The sequence below is a fragment of the Homo sapiens genome, chromosome X (genome assembly GCF_000001405.40).
Source record: "Homo sapiens chromosome X, GRCh38.p14 Primary Assembly".
Taxonomy (NCBI): Eukaryota; Metazoa; Chordata; class Mammalia; order Primates; family Hominidae; genus Homo; species Homo sapiens.
The window spans coordinates 7,305,982-7,323,710 of record NC_000023.11 but is presented as its reverse complement, the minus strand read 5'-3'; the positions used below and the strand labels follow the sequence as shown (position 1 = coordinate 7,323,710).

The following is a 17,729-nucleotide window of genomic DNA, read 5'->3' as shown; positions in this document are numbered from 1 at the left end:
TATTCTACCAAAAAGATACCTTTACCTGTATGTTCATTGCTGCACTATTCACAATAGCAGACATGAAATTAATCCAGGTGCCCATCGACAGGGATTGGATAAAGAAAATGTGGCACATATACATCATGGAATACTACACAGCCATAAAAAAGAACAAAATATTGTCCTTTGTAGCAACATGGTATAGCTAGAGGCCATTATCCTAAGTGAATTAATGCAGGAACAGAAAATCAAACACTGCATGTTCTTACTTATAAGTGGGAGCTAAACATTCAGTACTCATAAACATAAAGTTGGCAACAGTAGACACTGGGAACTACTAGGGGGGAAAGAGGGAGGAGGTCAAGGAGTGAAAAACTATCAGGTACTATGTTCACTACTTGGATGACAGGATCATTAGAACCCCAAACCTCAGCATAATGCAATATACCCATGTAACACACCAGCACACGTACCCACTGAATCTAAAAATTAAAAAAAAAAAACATGTTGTTTTGAGCCACTAAATTTGTGGTCAATGATTACAACGGACATAGGAAACAGATACACCAGCCCTTTGCACTTGAGAAAATAGCTTCAGCTTTCTGTATCTCATATTCCCACTATGTTTCCACGTGATTATTACATGGAATGATTATCCCAACTGCCAAGCTCAGTGCCTGCAAGAGAGGCACAAAAAATGGCTATTATCTTCGTTGGTATTATTTTATTACCAGGATGGCTCTTAACCAGGAGAGTTGAGGAAACAGGCTTGGTGCCTATGAAGCAATTAGAATATAATTAAATACAGCATCGAAAGGGTACCGGCAGAGGCAGGAAGGGTGAGTTCAGAGTGGATCAGAATGTCAGCAGATAATCTCAGAAGATGGTCACTGAAGGAACCAAAATATTTCACCCCAAAATACTCTTCTTTGACATATTTTGAGATGGATGTTCACAGGGTCTGCAAACAGAAGCAGCCCTGCAAAACTGTCTTTTGTAGAGGAGGTTTGAATCTATAGAGAAAATCTGGCTGGGCATAATGGCTCACACCTGTAATCCCAGCACTTTAGGAGGCCAAGACGGGTGGATCACCTGAGGTCAGCAGTTGAAGACCAACCTGGCCAACATGGTGAAATCATGTCTCTACTAAAAATACAAAAATTAGCCAGGCGTGGTGGCGCACGCCTATAATCCCAGCTACTTGGGAGGATGAGGCACGAGAATTGCTTGAACCCGGGAGGTGGAGGTTGCAGTGAGCCAAGATCTCACCAGTGCACTCTAGCCTGTGTAACAGAGTGAGCATCTGTCTCAGAAAAGAAAAAGAGAGAGAGAGAGAGAATCTGCATTGAGGCAGCCAGGCTTTCTCTGAAGGCCTCCGTTGTCCGATCCAGGAAAGATGAACTGAGAGACACATACCTTTAAAGGTCTGCAAGAAACATTCACCATCTCTTCTCTCTGTGGACTGCTACACAGGAGGTCTCATCTGCATAACAAGACCACCTCTGCTAGCCAGGCGTCCTCTTCTCCCCTCTCCTAACCTGTGTTGCCAGGAGGCAAGGCCCCATTCTTTCTGTAACCTCAAGATGGTGTAAAAGCATCAACCATCCAGCCATTTCTTTGAGATCTATTTTGTAAGGCTCCACGCACGTGAATAAATTTGTGTGCCTTTTCTCAGTTGCCTTTGTCAGCTGATTTTTAGCAAACCTTCAGAGGGCAAAGGGGCAGTTTTCCTGTGGCCCCTATATGACCAACACCTCCCGTTGAGGGATGGAGACCAAGTGCTCCAGTATAGGGCTCAGACAGGCCAGGGCTGAGGTCACTCCAGCTGGGCAGGTGACCCATCGCTGGGGGAATAAACACTGCTTCCTCACCCTTCATGACAAAGACAGCATAGGGCTAAGGGGCACTGAAGTAGCCGTCAGGAATTTAGGCTGGGGACAAAGGGAGTGGAGTTGAAGTTCAGCTACTCAAAAAAGAGGCTGTTTTAAACAATTGGTGTGAAGCATTAAATAGACAGTTAAGTGAGAACGAAGCCAATGAAAAAATGCTCATTCCTTGCAGGAATATCATGTGTGAGTCAACTGGAAATAAATGCCACTTATATTTAGGAAGTAAATTACTAGAAACAGAGGTTTCAGGGGTCCTGAAGCAAATTTCCATTGTTAAAAGCTCATCTCTTTCTCTTTGTTTTTCTAACCTTTACAGGAATGCCTCCTTTTATTGCACTCTGCTCTAGTGTGTTTTTCAGATGTTACATTATTTATCTATGTATGTATTTGTTTATGTATTTACTTTTATTTATTTTAGGTTCAGGGGTACATGTGCAGGTTTGTTATATAGGTAATCTGCATGGCTTGGGAGTTTGGTGTGCAGATTATCTCATCACACAGCTAATCAGCATAGTACCTGATATTTAGTTTTTCAATCCTCTCCCTCCTCCTCTTTCCCTCCACTCTCAAGTAGGCCCCAGAGTCTGTTGTTCCCTTCATTGTGTCCATGTTTACTCAATGTTTAGCTCCCACTTATAAGTGAGAACATGCAGAATTTGGTTTTAGGTTCGTGCATTAATTCTTTTAGGATAGTGGCCTCCAGCTCCATCTATGTTGCTGCAAAGGACAGGATCTCATTCTTTTTTATGGCTGCATAGTATTCCATGGTGTGTATGTACCACATTTTCTTTATCTAGTCCACTGTTGATGGGTATTTTGGTTGACTCCATGTCTTTGCTATTGTGAATAGTTAAAAGCTCATTTCTTACAGCTGAAGACTGTAGTCTCCTCAGCAGGCTCTGACCTTTGCAGATATTCAGACATTCTATATGCACAGTCACTTAGGGGAGATTCCTATGGAAGTTCACATCATACTTTGTAGTTTCTGTGATGGCCTCCTAAGAAAGTTAAAACTCTTCCCCTTATTTTATCCTTTCAACATCACTTGAAGGTAATTCTCTGACAGATACTGTGATTCCTGCTTCACAGACATCACAGCCAACAAATGGGAAGTTTAACTACTTTGCCGTAGTTCATTCAAGCAGTTGAAAGCAGATCTTTGGGAGGAATCTCAACGTGTGAATTACTGTCTAGTTTTCCTTCTGTTCCATCAAACTCATAAAATTTTCACCTGCTTATCCTGCTACTCGATCAAACTCACACCATCTTCACTTTAAATTTAACAACAAAATAAGTGATCGCTATACAACAAAAAAGGGCTGATTTCATTAATGGTTTAGATATACACATATTGCCCCCTTGTTTTAAATAAAACAGCATAAATAAACAGGAACAAAAACCAAACTATTAAATCAGGAAAAAGCACCCTCTAAAAGTTAATCTTCTAGATGTAACGTGGCATTGTGTATTGATTCTGAAACAGAGAAAGGGCATTAATGGGAAAGCTGGTAACATGTGAAGGTTAATTTTGACAAATACACCATAGTTGTGTAGGATGGTAAGATTGCAGATAGCTGGGTGAAAAATATACCTCTGTACTACCTTTGTAATTCTCCATCAATCTAAACTCATTCATAACATTTTAATATTTTATATATATATAAAATAAAATATATATAATAAAAAATATATAAATATATAATAAAAATATATATAAAATAATACTTATATAAAATACAAAAAATATATATAACTATATATAAAATATATATAAAATATATATATAAATATATATAATATATAAATATATATATAAATATATATAAATATATATATAAAAATATATATATAAATATATATACATATATATAAAATATATATATAAATATACATATAAAAATATATATATATAAAATAGTTGCACAATCTGAGGCTGAGAGAACTTCAGTTATGTGCTGACTGTCACTTATTTAGTAAGCGGTAGAGTTACAGATAGAAATCCAGGTTTGTCTGACTGACTCCAAAGCCTGTGAATTTAAACAGTTCTCCAATATCACTTTATCTTTGCAGCAAGAGCACTGGTGCCAAGTTGTCTATGTCCTGAAAGAAGAGGATCACACCATATTTGTAAACCACATTTAGTTTCTACACCCTATGTAGAAACTCAGAAAGATACATGTGAACAGTAGAATTAAGGACTGAGGCACCGAGCGAATTTCGTACCCTCCCAGGAGTTGATCTGTACATCATCTTTAGGGTGAAAGGCAATGTCTGAGGATGGTTTACTAGGGGCTCACCAGGGGAAGCCAAGGGATGCACCTGGCTGTAGAGCCACTTGACAGAGTGGCTGAAAAACATGGCCCTTAAACAGCAGATAGTGGCTGGGTGCAGTGGCTCATGTCTGTAATTCCAGCACTTTGAGAGGCCTAGGCAGGTGAGATGCTTGAGACCAGGAGTTCAAGACCAGTCTTGGCACCATGGTGAGATGCCATCTCTACAAAAAAATATTAATAATAATTAAAAAAATAGCCAGGTGTGGTGGCACACACCTGTAGTCCCAGCTACTCAGGGGGGAGGACTGCTTGAAACTGGGAGTTTGAGGCTGCAGTGAGCTATGATTGTGTCCCTGCACTCCAGCCTGGGTGACAGAGAGAGACGTCATGTCTTAAAAAACAGAAAACAAAGCACATAGTTTCACAAAAATCCACAGGCACATCCAATGTCTGTGTATTTTACAACCCAAGTGCCAGTGATCTATTCCCCTCTGAGGAATTTGCTAATATCCCAGAACTCCAGGTGATGGAAGAGACATCTTATGAGAACATGGCTTGATGTATAACCACTTTGAAAACAAAGCAAAATAAAACAAATCTCCTGCAGAGGCCCTGGAAATATCACAGCCTGCCAGAGATTCCAGATTCCCAAAGGAGCTCCAAGCCACAAATGGCCACCTGGTGGCAATACTTCTGCTTGGGTGCAAAGAAGTAGCTTACCCCTGCTCAGGTAAGATGCACAGAGCACCTCTATTGCAGGCACTGGACTATGGGGGCAGCTGTGCCTGTAGCCCCTAGATCTAGCCACCTACTGACCACCTGAATGGTAGCACCAGGCATGGTTTCATCTGCAGCTAGTGTTAACAAATTGTCACACCCGAGAAACGCTCTGTTGGAAGCTCTGAACCCACTATGTGGAACATCACGAGATTCCCATCTTGTATTAATAGTTCTGAGTCTATATTCAGGTCCTAAAGAAATGTATCCATAAACATAATCTTGTGCAATTTTCTAAAGCTATAAAGGGAGAGTTTTTACAACAGTCATGGCAAAAAAATGTTTTAAAATTTTTTTAACAGATGATAAACACATCCGAGCACACACTGCCTATGGAAAAACATGTTGGAGGAAGCATGATCACACATTTGCAGGCATGTGTTGATGAGCAAGTGCCCTTGCTTGTCAGATGGTGTAGCTTTGAGTCTCCTTCCTCCTGCGATATTGTGTGGAAAGCGAGATGCGCCAAATGTGTCTGTCAGGCTGAAAAAGCACCGAAATCTGCTCTCCCGGGCACCACTCACATTATCATCGAGCAGAGTTTAGAGGAACTCAGAGGGTGGACACGGGATGCTTCATTCATTCAGCAGACATTTAATAAGCAATGACTTGCTATGATCAGGACTAATGATGGAGTTTCACATGTTCCCCAAACCATTCAAACTCGTGACTTTATTAACTCTTGATTCTCACCATGACTCTGCAAGGCAAGTAACCCATTTCACAGCCAAGAAAACTTTGGCAAAGGTTACACAGCCAGTAATTGATGGTATTAGGTATAGTTCTAGAACCTGTCCTGCCAAATGCTAGGCTTTACTGATTTTCACATCCCCAAATGGGACACAAAGATATACAATGGAGATTACGCCCTACAGAAACTCACAGCCTCAAAAGATAGCTCAGATAATACCCACTGAGAACTCTGATTGTATGCCAACAGAATCCCAGAGAGAACACAGTGAAGAGGGACCTTGCCCTACAGAAATTAAAGGTCTCAAAAGACAGCTCAGATATATCCACAGGCCAGGCACAGTGGCTCACACCTGTAATCCCAACACTTTGGGAGACTGAGGTAGGAGGATCACTTGAGGTCGGGGTTTGAGACCAGGCTGGGCAACACAGTGAGACCCAGTCTACAAAAAATAAGAAATAAAAAAGCCAAGCATGGTGGTGCATGCCTCTAGTCCCAGCTACATGGGAGGCTGAGGCAGGAGGATTGGGTAAGCCTGGGAGGTTGAGGCCATAGTGAGCTGTGATCACGCCACTGCACCCTAGCCTGGGTGACAAAGTGAAACGCTGCCTTAAACAAACAAACAAACAAACAAACAAACAAACCAAAAGATATGCCCACAGATAACTCTGATTAAACACCAACCAAAATAAAAAGAAATGTCTTTTACCTGGGCAAACCTGCCCTGTGCCAATAGATTTTGACTTGGGTTTTGAAGGAGAAATAAACTTAGGAAAGTTGGAGAATGGGATATGGGGGAAAGAAAAAAAAAAACAGGTGAAGGAGTATGAACTATTTTTTCTGAAAATTTATGAGCAGAGAAAAAGCCATGGTCTAAGTTTAACTTTTTGTAGAGTAATTGTCCAATTCACAGTTTTAACATCTTGATGGCATGTTGTGATGATGTTCTCATCACAGAAGGATGATGGCTGAGTTACTCAATCTCTCTAGGCAAGCGTAGCGAGGATTCTTCTACAATTTACTCAAAGACTCTTGTTAGAAACAGCTGTTTGCAAACCAGGCTTCTATTTTTGTCCTTCTGAATGCTACCACACAGCAGGTCAAATCACTTTTAATGGCAAGAGCATATGCTAGTCATTCTTATGCTTGATCTGGGCAGAGTTTTATGAAATATTGTTTTTCATTTTTCTCCTCAAATCTTCCCATCTGAGATAACACTAATTCTCTGAATTGAGGCAAACCCCGTTGAAGTGTGTGATGATAATTCACGGGAAATGTTTTCTCACCCAAGATGCTACATTTTATACTCTCCTTGATTTATTCATGCCAAAGACTAAAACCCATGAATTGCAGATGGGAAATATAACAATATTTTTCAGGTTCCACCAACGTATTACCCATCTATTATGAAGGCAAAAATAAGGAACCTGGTGATATCAGTTCCTAAATAACATGTCAAGAATTGAAGAATATCCTTAAAATTAATTGACACAGGTCAAATGATTAAGAATGACTCATCAAGCAATACATCCAACTGCTAAGGAATCTAAGTCAAGGGTTGGCAAACTTTTTCTCTAAAGAGCCAGGTAGTAAATATTTCAGGCTCTTTGGGTGGCTTTCTCAACTACTCAACTCTGCTGTTGTAATTAAGAAGCAGCCAGGAATGAGACATCCACAAATGAGCACAGCTGGGTTTCAATAAAACTTTATTTAGAAAATCAAGGGCTGGTTTGCATTAGGCCCACATGCTACAGCTAGGCCAGTCCTGTTCTAATTTACTAAATTTTGATTTTTTGGGGTGGGGTGAGCACACCAACTTGGACCTTACTCCATAATATTAAATCCTTCAGCATCGGGGGGAAGTGTCACAGCAACTTCTACTAACATTTTTCTTGTCACTTAATTGAACTCATACTTAATATTGTCTGCAAGAATGAAAAACTAAAAAATACATCTTACTCTGGAATGCGAAGCTAACCATGTCCTGACTGGGGTCCACCTTTCCAACATCACACCTTGGTTGAGCTGAGTCCCACGAAAATGTCCTGGTCAACAGCTCATCCTCTGCTCTCCGGAAAGTTCTGCTGCTCCCTCTTGATGGTTGCTCTGCTAGGATTTGACCCTGGGATGGTTAATATTGAGTGTCAACTTGATTGGATTGAAGGATGTAAAGTATTGTTCCTGGCTGTGTCTGTGAAGGTGTTGCCAAAAGAGATTAACATTTGAGTCAGTGGGCTGGGAGAGGCAGACCCACCCTCAATCTGGGTGGGCACCATCTCATCAGCTGCCCATGTAGCTAGGATAAAGCAGGCAGAAGAACGTGGAAGGACTAGACTGGCTGAGTCTTCCAGCCTACATCTTTCTCCCATGCTGGATGCTTCCTGTCCTTGAATATCAGACTCCAAGTTCTTCAGGTTTTGGATTCCTGGGCTTACACCAGTGATTTGCCAGGGGCTCTCGGACCTTCGACCACAGACCAAAGGCTGCACTATCATCAGCTTCCCTACTTTTGAGGTTTTGGAACTCGGACTGGCTTTCTGGCTCCTCAGCTTGCAGACAGCCCATTGTGGGACTTCACCTTGTGATTGTGTGAGTCAATTCTCCTAATAAACTCCCTTTCATATAGACATCTATCCTATTAGTCCTGTTCCTCCAGAGAACCCTGACTAATACAGCCCCCACACCCAAATCATTTACAAAGCTCCTTAAAAGCCTAGATAACAAGCCTCTCCGATTTCATTAAGCCTTCTATGATCACATATTATTTTTCAACTTTCAATTTCCACAGTATTTTTCAAGTTCAAGTTTATGGGACATATGACAACCAATTCTATGCATGTCTCATTCCAACAGTATCAACAGTATTTGAGAACAAACTGTCTAATGCACTGTTAAATCAACTAAAGTAATAGTGAAATCCCTTCCAAATAGATGGTACTCAATATATTTTGTGAAATAAATGAAATAATGAATTAATCAATGAAGCGTATTACTGTGGGAAAAAAACAGAAGCCTATAGGTGAATGTGATTACAAATTCCTATGTCTAACCTCTTCTGGTCTCTATTTTGCTAAATGTTTCATTTCCCTAATACATTGCATTCCTAAAATTTTCTCCACCAGTCATATACTAAACAGCTTGACCTTTGACTATCAAAAGAGAAACTCTCCCTGCATGTCATCAAAGAAAATGAGCCCATAAGCATGAGCTATGCCCACTCCCTGCCCTCACAGAGCCCAGTTACCCACCGTGGCCACATCCTTCTCACTTTCCCACCTCTTTGCTGTCCCGGAATCCCAACCTTTCTCTCCTGCAGAGCACGCTTGACCACACAACTTCAATCTTGCCCATCTCAAAAGTGAGAAATTCAAGCCTCCCATTACGGGATCACAATCTCCTGCCTGTCCATGTGACTTTTTCAACAACAGGTGCAAGCTCTGCCACATTTAACTGTGTAGTATTAAGGTCATACATTTTGTCAACTGAAGCCAATGCAATCAAATCACTCTGCCTACGGCAATGCCTGAGACAGTGGTGATCCAGCAGTTGCATTTTCTGCTAAAGTGGACAGTCCCAATCATTCCAAATGGCCCTTCCATTTTCAGGGTGTTCACTAATGTTAACCCATCTGTCTGGTCCCTACTCCCAGCTCAGATAACCCACAAGGCAGAGCTCAATGCCCGGACATGATACCAAGTCTCCATCACCTGACACTGTCAGTCCTTGCTCACACTTTTTTTTTGAGACAGGATCTCACTTTGTTACCCAGGCTGGAGTGCAGTGGTGCAATCAAGTCTCACTGCAGCCTCCACCTCCCAGGCTCCACTGATCCTCCCATCTCAAGCCTCTGGAGTAGCTGGACTGCAAGCACATGCCATCACATCTGACTAATTTTTAAATCTGTTTTTTAGAGATGGGGTCTAACTATGCTGCCCAGACTGGTCTCGAACTCCTGGGCTCAAGCGATCCTTCTGCCTTGGCCTCCCAAAGTGATGAAATTACAGGTATAAGCCACTGCGCCCAGCTACATTTTCATCCCTAGAAATACTGAGCTGCTTTTTCGCTCCCCATAAGTATTTCACACCTGCCTACTGTGTACTTCCCACCTGTCCTCTCCTAGCCAACAATGCAAAACGTCAACCTGCAAAATGTCAGCTCCTCCTGGAAGGTTCTCTGAATTCCCAAGTTGGGCTAACTGCCTTTACCATTCTTTAACAGTTCCCTTACCAGTACATTACACTGAAGTGGTCTCTTATATATCTATCCTAAAAACTAGTAGAATTTAGAGGCATTCTGTCTTTTAGTAGAATTTAAGCTACTAGCTTCTAGTAGAATGTAAATTAGTAGCAGTCGGAGACCCTTTATTCTTTGCCTTTATACCCTATCAGCTAGCCCTGTGCCTGGCATGTTCTATAGAATCAATATATAAATGCATGCCAGTAAAATTAAACCAAATGCATGAACACATAAATGAGACTGATGTGATCTTTCAAAGGTTAAAAGGCTGTGGATACCTGCTGGAGGACTAAATACTGACACTAGCATGAAGAGGCAGCTTTGCCTACTCTTGGGAAGCCAATGACAATGTTTGCCAACATCATTTGAACATAACTACCTTGTAATAATCTACCAGAGTCAGTTGCTACTATTTTTCTCTCACAATAAAAGTATCAATTGCTCTCAGAAAGCTGTGTTATTGAATGACAGGAAGAGATGTCAAAATCAGTGACTGTAAGAAGCAACTCATAAGTGACATGGACTCAAGCCACGTGTTTGGAATTTGGCCTTAAGGTAAGGAAAAAATGCCTGAAGAGCAGTGCCTTCCATGCAGCCATCAGGGAATTTTAAAAGCATTTCTCTGCACATGAAAAAAAAGTATATATTCTTGAACACTCTGGAAAATATGATCCCCCACCCCCACACTTCTGCAGAAGCCATCTATAGAGTTAATTTATCCATTCCATTGACATTTATTACTTGCCTGTAGGCAGAGAAAAAGGGAGGGAGGAAGAGCCTCCTTCAGGGTGACCTTGACTTGGGAGAGGGATGGAAATGAAGCCAGACATATGAGTTTAACTGTTCTGTTCTGAGAATAAGGAAATCTTGTAGTATGAGGAAAAGGCAAACAACTCTAAACTCAACTAAAAGAAAATCTTAAGGAAGTTATTCTGGTCCCATCTAAGGGATATTTTAGGAGAAAGGGAAGAAATAGGGAGAGAAGGAGACAGAAGGAAGAGAAATCTGAGAAGTGTTCACTATTTGTATTAGTCCATTTTCATACTTCTATGAAGAAATATCTGAGACTAGGTAATTTATAAAGAACAAGTTTTAATGGACTCACAGTTCCACATGGCTAGGGGGCCTCAAAATCATGGCGGGAGGTGAGGGAGAAGCAAAGGCATGTCTTACATGGCATCAGGCAAGAGAGTGTGTGAAGGGGAACTGCCCTTTATAAAACCATCAGATCTCATGAGACTTATTCATTATCACGAGAACAGCACAGGAAAGACCCGCCCCCATGATTCAATTACCTCTGACCAGGTGCCTCCCATGACATGTGGGGATTATGGGAGCTACAATTCAAGATGAGATTTTGATGGGGACACAGCCAAACCATATCCCTACTCATTCAGTAAGTTCTTATTGAATGCCTACTCCATGGTTACTCAAGGCACTAGGACACAGTGGTAAATGAGGCAGCCCAGATTCCAGCTTCCATGGGAGAAGGACTATGAGCAAATAAAATAATAAACAGGTAAGTTATCAGAGATGCGAGCAATTAGAATAAAGTGGTGGGAGAGACAAGGACTTTTGATTTGGTGGTCCAGGGAGACCTTACAAAGGCAACATATGAGTGAAAGATAAAATCCATCCAAAGATGAGATGGAAGGATGAGTTTCTAACACAAAGACTCTGAGGTGGGAACAAGATGAAGGGGTTGGGGGACCCAGGAAAAGCCAGGAAGAGAGGAGGAGAAAACTGTACAGCTGGGGTGCAGACTTCACATTGTATTTTCAGTGGATGAGAAGATATTGGAGTGGTTTTTTGTTCTGTTTGTTTGTTTGTTTGTTTGAGACAGGGTCTTGCTCTGTTGCCCAGGCTGGAGTGTAGTGGTGCAATCATAGCTCACTGCAGCCTCGACTTCCTGGGCTCAAGCGATCCTCTTACCTCAGCCTCCTGAGTAGCTAGGACTCCAGATGTGTACCACCACCCCTGGTTAATTTTGTTTTTTAAACTGTTTTTTTGTAGAGACAGTGGTCTCCCTCTGTTGACCAGCCTGGAGTGCAGTGGTGCAATCATAGCTCACTGCAGATTCAAACTCCTGGGCTCAAGTGATCCTCCCACCCTAGCCTCCTCAGTAGCTTGGACTACAGGTGTGCAACACAACAGCCAGCTAATTTTTACATGTTTTTTGTAGAGACAAGGTCTCACTATGTTGCCCAGGCTGGGCTCCGACTCCTGAGCTCAAGTGATCCTCCCATCTCAGCCTCCCAAAGTGCTGGGATTACAGGTGTGAGCCACCATGGCTGGTTGATATTAGAGTGTTTGAAGAAAGGAAAAAAGCCATGTGAAGGTGGAGGCAGAGATTGGAGTGACACATCTACAAGTCAAGGAAGGTTAAGAATTAATGGCAGAACAACAAAGGATTCTCCCCTAGAGGTTTCGTAGGGAGCCCACCACTTCCAGCAGCTTGCTTTCAGACTCCTGGCCCCCAGAACTGAGAGAAAACAACTTTCTGCTGTTTTTAAGTCACCCAGTTTGTGGTGCTAACAGTTATGTCAGTCCTCAGAAATTCAATAGAGTACATTGACACTATGTTTACGAAAGCTCACTCCAGTGTCTGGGTAGAGAACGGAGTGTGAGAACAAAGAATTAGGGAGACCACCAAGAAGCACACTGGAGAAGTCCAAAGGGCAGACCACAGTGGCCTGGACAAGATGGAAAATTGATACAGCTGACAAAAGATGACCAATGTCAGATAAACTTAGAAAATAAAGTGAATAGGATGTGATTCCAAAATATGGGATACATAGGGGTTAAAGAGAGGCAAAATAAAACAAGCCCATCAACCAGCAAATATCGTAGCACTGAGGTTCAGTCACGGGGTAAAGCATTCAATAAGATCATGCAGATTTGGGCATGTGTGGGCTTGGGCTAGCTTGCATTTGATGTCTAGCTTGCATCTTTCCGAGATGACATGCCTACTGAGCTTCCAGGTCATGTGGCAAGTGGGCAGCTGAACATAGCAATGTGGACCTCCACAGCAGGGTCCCGGCTCTGTATGTGGGATGCCCTGCAGTTGGATGTCATATGACGTCCTGGATTTGGATGACATCAGATAGGGCAAGTGTGAAGATAAAGGGAAGGGGGCCCAGGACAGAGCCCTGGAGGTCTTCAACATTGAGAGGTGGATCAGGTGAGAAGCAGCTGCAGTGAAGGTTGAGAAGAAACTTCCATGAATTTGTTTGCAACTCCTCATGCAAAGAGAGGCTCAAAGGCTTTGAACCCTGATTTAGAAAAGTGAAGCTAGGGGTGGGGCCACTTGCTCCTTCAATAAGAGAACTGCAATTTGCAGGACTCTCAGCTTGAACTCCTTTCTGTTCTACTGCCTTGACACAGATACAAGTGCAGAATGAAGCGTCTTCTCAAGACTCACCCACCAGGCTGATCCAAATAGATCCAATACCTGTCCAGGGTGTAGGAACATAAATTGAGAGCCATAAACTAAATTTCCTAGAAAGAGTTAAGGATTGCATAGAAATCTTAAATCCTCTATTAGTTTCAAGCAATGGTTTCTACTCCTAAGGTCCCAAAGAAGCAATGTGAACATTTTCAAATGTCAACAGCCCTGATGGAAAATTTTACATTTAACAGCTACAAAGGGTCACAGGCTATGGGATGTTCAGTGGTTTACTTATTTATCTTGCTGTCTATGAAAATCATAATCACATGGTATGGAACACAGTCAAATTAAGTGGAAGCCCTAATGGAGATAATGATTTCTTAATTATTAAATGGGAAGATAAATTATTCCTTAGAAAATTGGTTTTATTAGGTTGACACAATCATTCAAAGCATGTGGACAATAGAAGAAAATTTATTTTAGAAGGGTCTCAGAGGGAAATATTTTAGGAACTACTGTATAAAGGACTTACTGCCAAGATTTCTAAACTTTGACCAGAATTATATCCAAAGTATACATTTGACCCTACCCTTATTTCCCAATTTCCCTTTATGCTAGAACATTTTGACAAAGACAAAATTTACCCATATCCAAACCTAAACAGAATAATCATACTGCAAAGTCATTTCCTTAAAGAAATGAAACAGTCCTATTATTACTCCCTCACCCCTGGAATATTAGATAATTGTTTTTTAAATGTAGACTGCAGCAGACATGTAATGTACCTCTTATTAAAAGGAATAACCTATTGAATTTAATGGAAGGATGATTTAATCCTAGCCATTCTACCAAATTTAGCCCATAGATTTTTTTTTTAACAAGAAGTCTGGTATATTTTATTTTATTTATTTATTTATGTTTAACTTATTTTAGGTTTGAGGATTCACGTGAAGGTTGGTTTGTTACATAGGTAAACTCATGTCATGGGGGTTTGGTGTACAAATTATTTAATCACACAGGTATTAAGCCTAGTACCCAATAGTGATCTTTCCTGCTCCTTTCCCTCCTCCCACCCTCCCCTCTCAAATAGACCCCAGTCTCTGTTGTTTCCTTTTATGTGTTCATAAGTTCTCATCATTTAGCTCTCACTTATAAGTGAGAACATGTGGTATTTGATTTTCTGTTCCTGCATTATTAGTTTGCGAAGGATAATAGCCTCCAGCTCCATCCAAGTTACAAAAGACATGATCTCATTCTTTTTTATGGCTTCACAGTATTCCATGGTGTATATATACCACATTTTCTTTATCCACTCTGTCATTGATGAAGCCCATAGATTTCACCAGGGAAACAGATTTGACTTGGGAATACAGTAGAATCATTAAGTTCAAATACCGAGATGGCTCCGCTGCACTGTAGCCTGGGTGGCAGAGCGAGATTCTCTCAAAAGGAAAAAAAAAAGTTCAAATAGCAAAGTCCTTTGAAGGGTTTTGATGGACAGTAGAAGTCATCATTGTTTAGAAAGGATGCTATTTTAAACAGGGTGTTAAATCCTATGATTTCTCTGTGTCTGCGTAAACCACAGGTATGTGTTCGAGTTTGCAGCTCTAGAGAACAAGATATCTTGACACTTGACACTCAGAAGCCTACTTCCCATAACTAGAAGGAAACCCCATCTTCCTTTTAGGGCATTGTATTTTAACAGTGTTTCACTGTGAACTTGATTTCAAATAAGTTGACAAAAGGATAATACTTTGCAATAGAGCGGTGGCTGAGACATTAATCATGTTACACATTCATGGTCTCTCCAGCATGCAAGCAAAACATTTCTAATACATCAAATACATTTCTTTAAAAAAAAAAGAAATTTATGGAGTAGCTCCTGACATGCTTGCAGGGTTGTATGATAAAACTGGGGTTCCCAACCATTATTCAAGACCATTGAGGCTCCCTTTCTGATCTATACCTCTCGTGTCTCTGAACCCTGGTGAACTATCTGTGCAAAACGTGATGCAGCTCCTTCTCTGTCCCATGAAACTTCCCCGGGATTGTCAGTCAGGGGTCCCCTCTCCCTGCCCTGGGGCTCTATAGCCTTCCATAGGTAACTTTCTTAAGTAACTATTACTCTCCAACCACTTCTAGAATTGTGATTGATGTACACGTCTCCTCCTCGGCAGCTGCTAAGCTATTTTGGAACTGAACAGGCACTAAGAGAGAGAATGAATGAATGGATGAACTAGAGCGTGGAATGCAGCCTGGAACTCCAGTCTTTAGGGACACTGGCATCTACAAAATGAAATAAAAACAACTCTATCCACACAGGTTATAGCCTTGTGAAAATAAGACTGAAACACCAATGAGATGGAGCAGGGACCCCTCTTAGGGGCCTGCTGGACTCCCCCAGGCAGGGAAATAAGGAAAAATCTTGAGTTCCTTCAAAGAAAATTCCAGGCACCTAGCTAGCTTTGAAAAGTAAATGAGCAACTGATAAGCAAGAAGGTAATCATAGAGTAAAATAATAGACAAGGAAGTTAGAGCCATAAAATGTTTGGTTCCCTGTAATAACTACAGATAACACTTTAACATATGTCCCATAGTTGTTTTTCAGAAAGTGGACCCCTTCCAAATGGAAAATGCCATCTGCTGGCACCTAGGCTCCAGGTAAAGAGGAACTGAGGACTGAACTCTGACTGACATTCTTTGTTCCAAATTTCTTCCCAAGGGGCCTGGAGGAAGCCACGCCCACAGGCCAGATATCATGTTTGTTTTTGCTGACCCCAAATTTTCAGACAAAGCTTCACTTCCTAAACCAATCGCAAATCAGGGAATCTTTGAAGCCACCTATAACCTGTGGGCGCCCTTCTTTGGGATGTCCTGCCTTTTTAGGTCAAACCAATGTATAATCTCCATGTATAGACTTATGACTTTGCCTGTAGCCTCTGCCTCCCAGGCTTTAAAAACCTTTGCTTGCAAACCATTGGGGAAGTGGAATCTTAAGTGAGAGAGGCCTCATTCTACTTGCTTGGAACCCTGCAAATAAACACCCTCCTTTCTCCCACTGCAAAACCTCGGTGTGGATGTTTGGCCTTACTGCGCTGGGTGAGTGGACCCCAGTTCAGCCCGGTAATACCAAGTCTTCATATATTAGGAATACATGTTTCCACTTTTTACTACTTTTAAAGTAACATGGCACACAGAGAAGGGCTGAAAGAGTGATAGCCTACTGGGGTTAATCCTGTTCAGATTAAACACACCGGTTCATTAATCAAACCCACATTACATATTGATTATGTGTCCTGCATTGAGCAAGGTAACAATGAGACCTAAAGGAAGGGGCTGGGAGGAGGTCTGAGCAGCCTATGAAGGTTGTCCAGATGCACCTAACAGGCATCTTTTTGTGCTAGGTGCCAGGTAACAAAAGGTGTAGGAGACGGTTCCTGCCCATGGGTGCTCAGCCGGTCATAGGGCTCCAGATGTGCACACAGAGACGTAACTAGAAGCATAAGGCTTCATAAGCTACCTGCAGCCTTATGCTGCAGGGATAGACTACAGAGGACTATTTCTCTTTGCCTCAGGTATGGTGTAATCTGGCCTTACTGAGCTCCTTGCAGTTTGCAGAACAAGCTATTTGCTGCTTCTCCTTCTTTCCAGCATGACAAAAGAGAGCAAGGGGTTGGAAGAGCAGAAAGAGACAGAAGGGGAAAGAAAGCAGAGGCACAGACCCACTGGTGACCTCCTTTCTAGCCGTGTCTCCTTTGCAAACATTCCTGGGAACCCCTCAGCCAAGTGAGGCTCTCTTTCCCCTTGTGCCATTAGTATCTTGTGCATGCAAGTGTTAGCGCCCTTGTCAAATTGTACTGGGTCTTCCCAGGCTTCACGTCATCATCTACCCACCCACCTACCAGTTCAACATGACTTCCTTCAGGGAAGACACCATGTTATATATTTACTGTTGTGTCTGGCCCAATGCAAGACACACAGAAGATAATCAATATTTCTAAACAAATTGATAGATAAAAGCATTCCCTATATCATCCTTTCATATCTTTGCAGGTAAACTGTGATTCACCCTCCCCTTTTGGTTAAGGCGTCATCTCTTCTTGTACCTTCAACCCATATCCACTGCAGATTTGGCTGGGGAGTCCTAACCCTTAGCACAAATACACCCTTTTAGGTATCATATCACTTTATGAAATGGGCCACGTTGTGTGTCATGTAATGTCTGTCATATAAGATAGACATTAGATATGTCTAATGTATATAGACATTAAATATTAGCTATGTATAAGTACATAAGATATGTCTAAATGTATATATTAGACAATATATATGTCTATCTTATATTGGCAGAGCATACACTATACAAGCCAGTAGCTGGGTCTCATCAAATATCTCCAATGACTAGCATGATGCCCAATCCACCATGAAAGTGGCTCAGCTAATGCTGCAAAAAAAATTTTTGAAAAGTGTTAGCTCAAAATACTATTGTGGGT

General features: G+C 41.6%; 1 protein-coding gene across 7 annotated transcripts in view; it reads right to left on the bottom strand.

Moving 5' to 3' along the window:
• Positions 1-17,729, bottom strand: part of STS (steroid sulfatase) — a 207,352-nt gene that overhangs the window by 30,931 nt on the left and 158,692 nt on the right. The gene's annotated exons all lie outside the window — the stretch shown is intronic.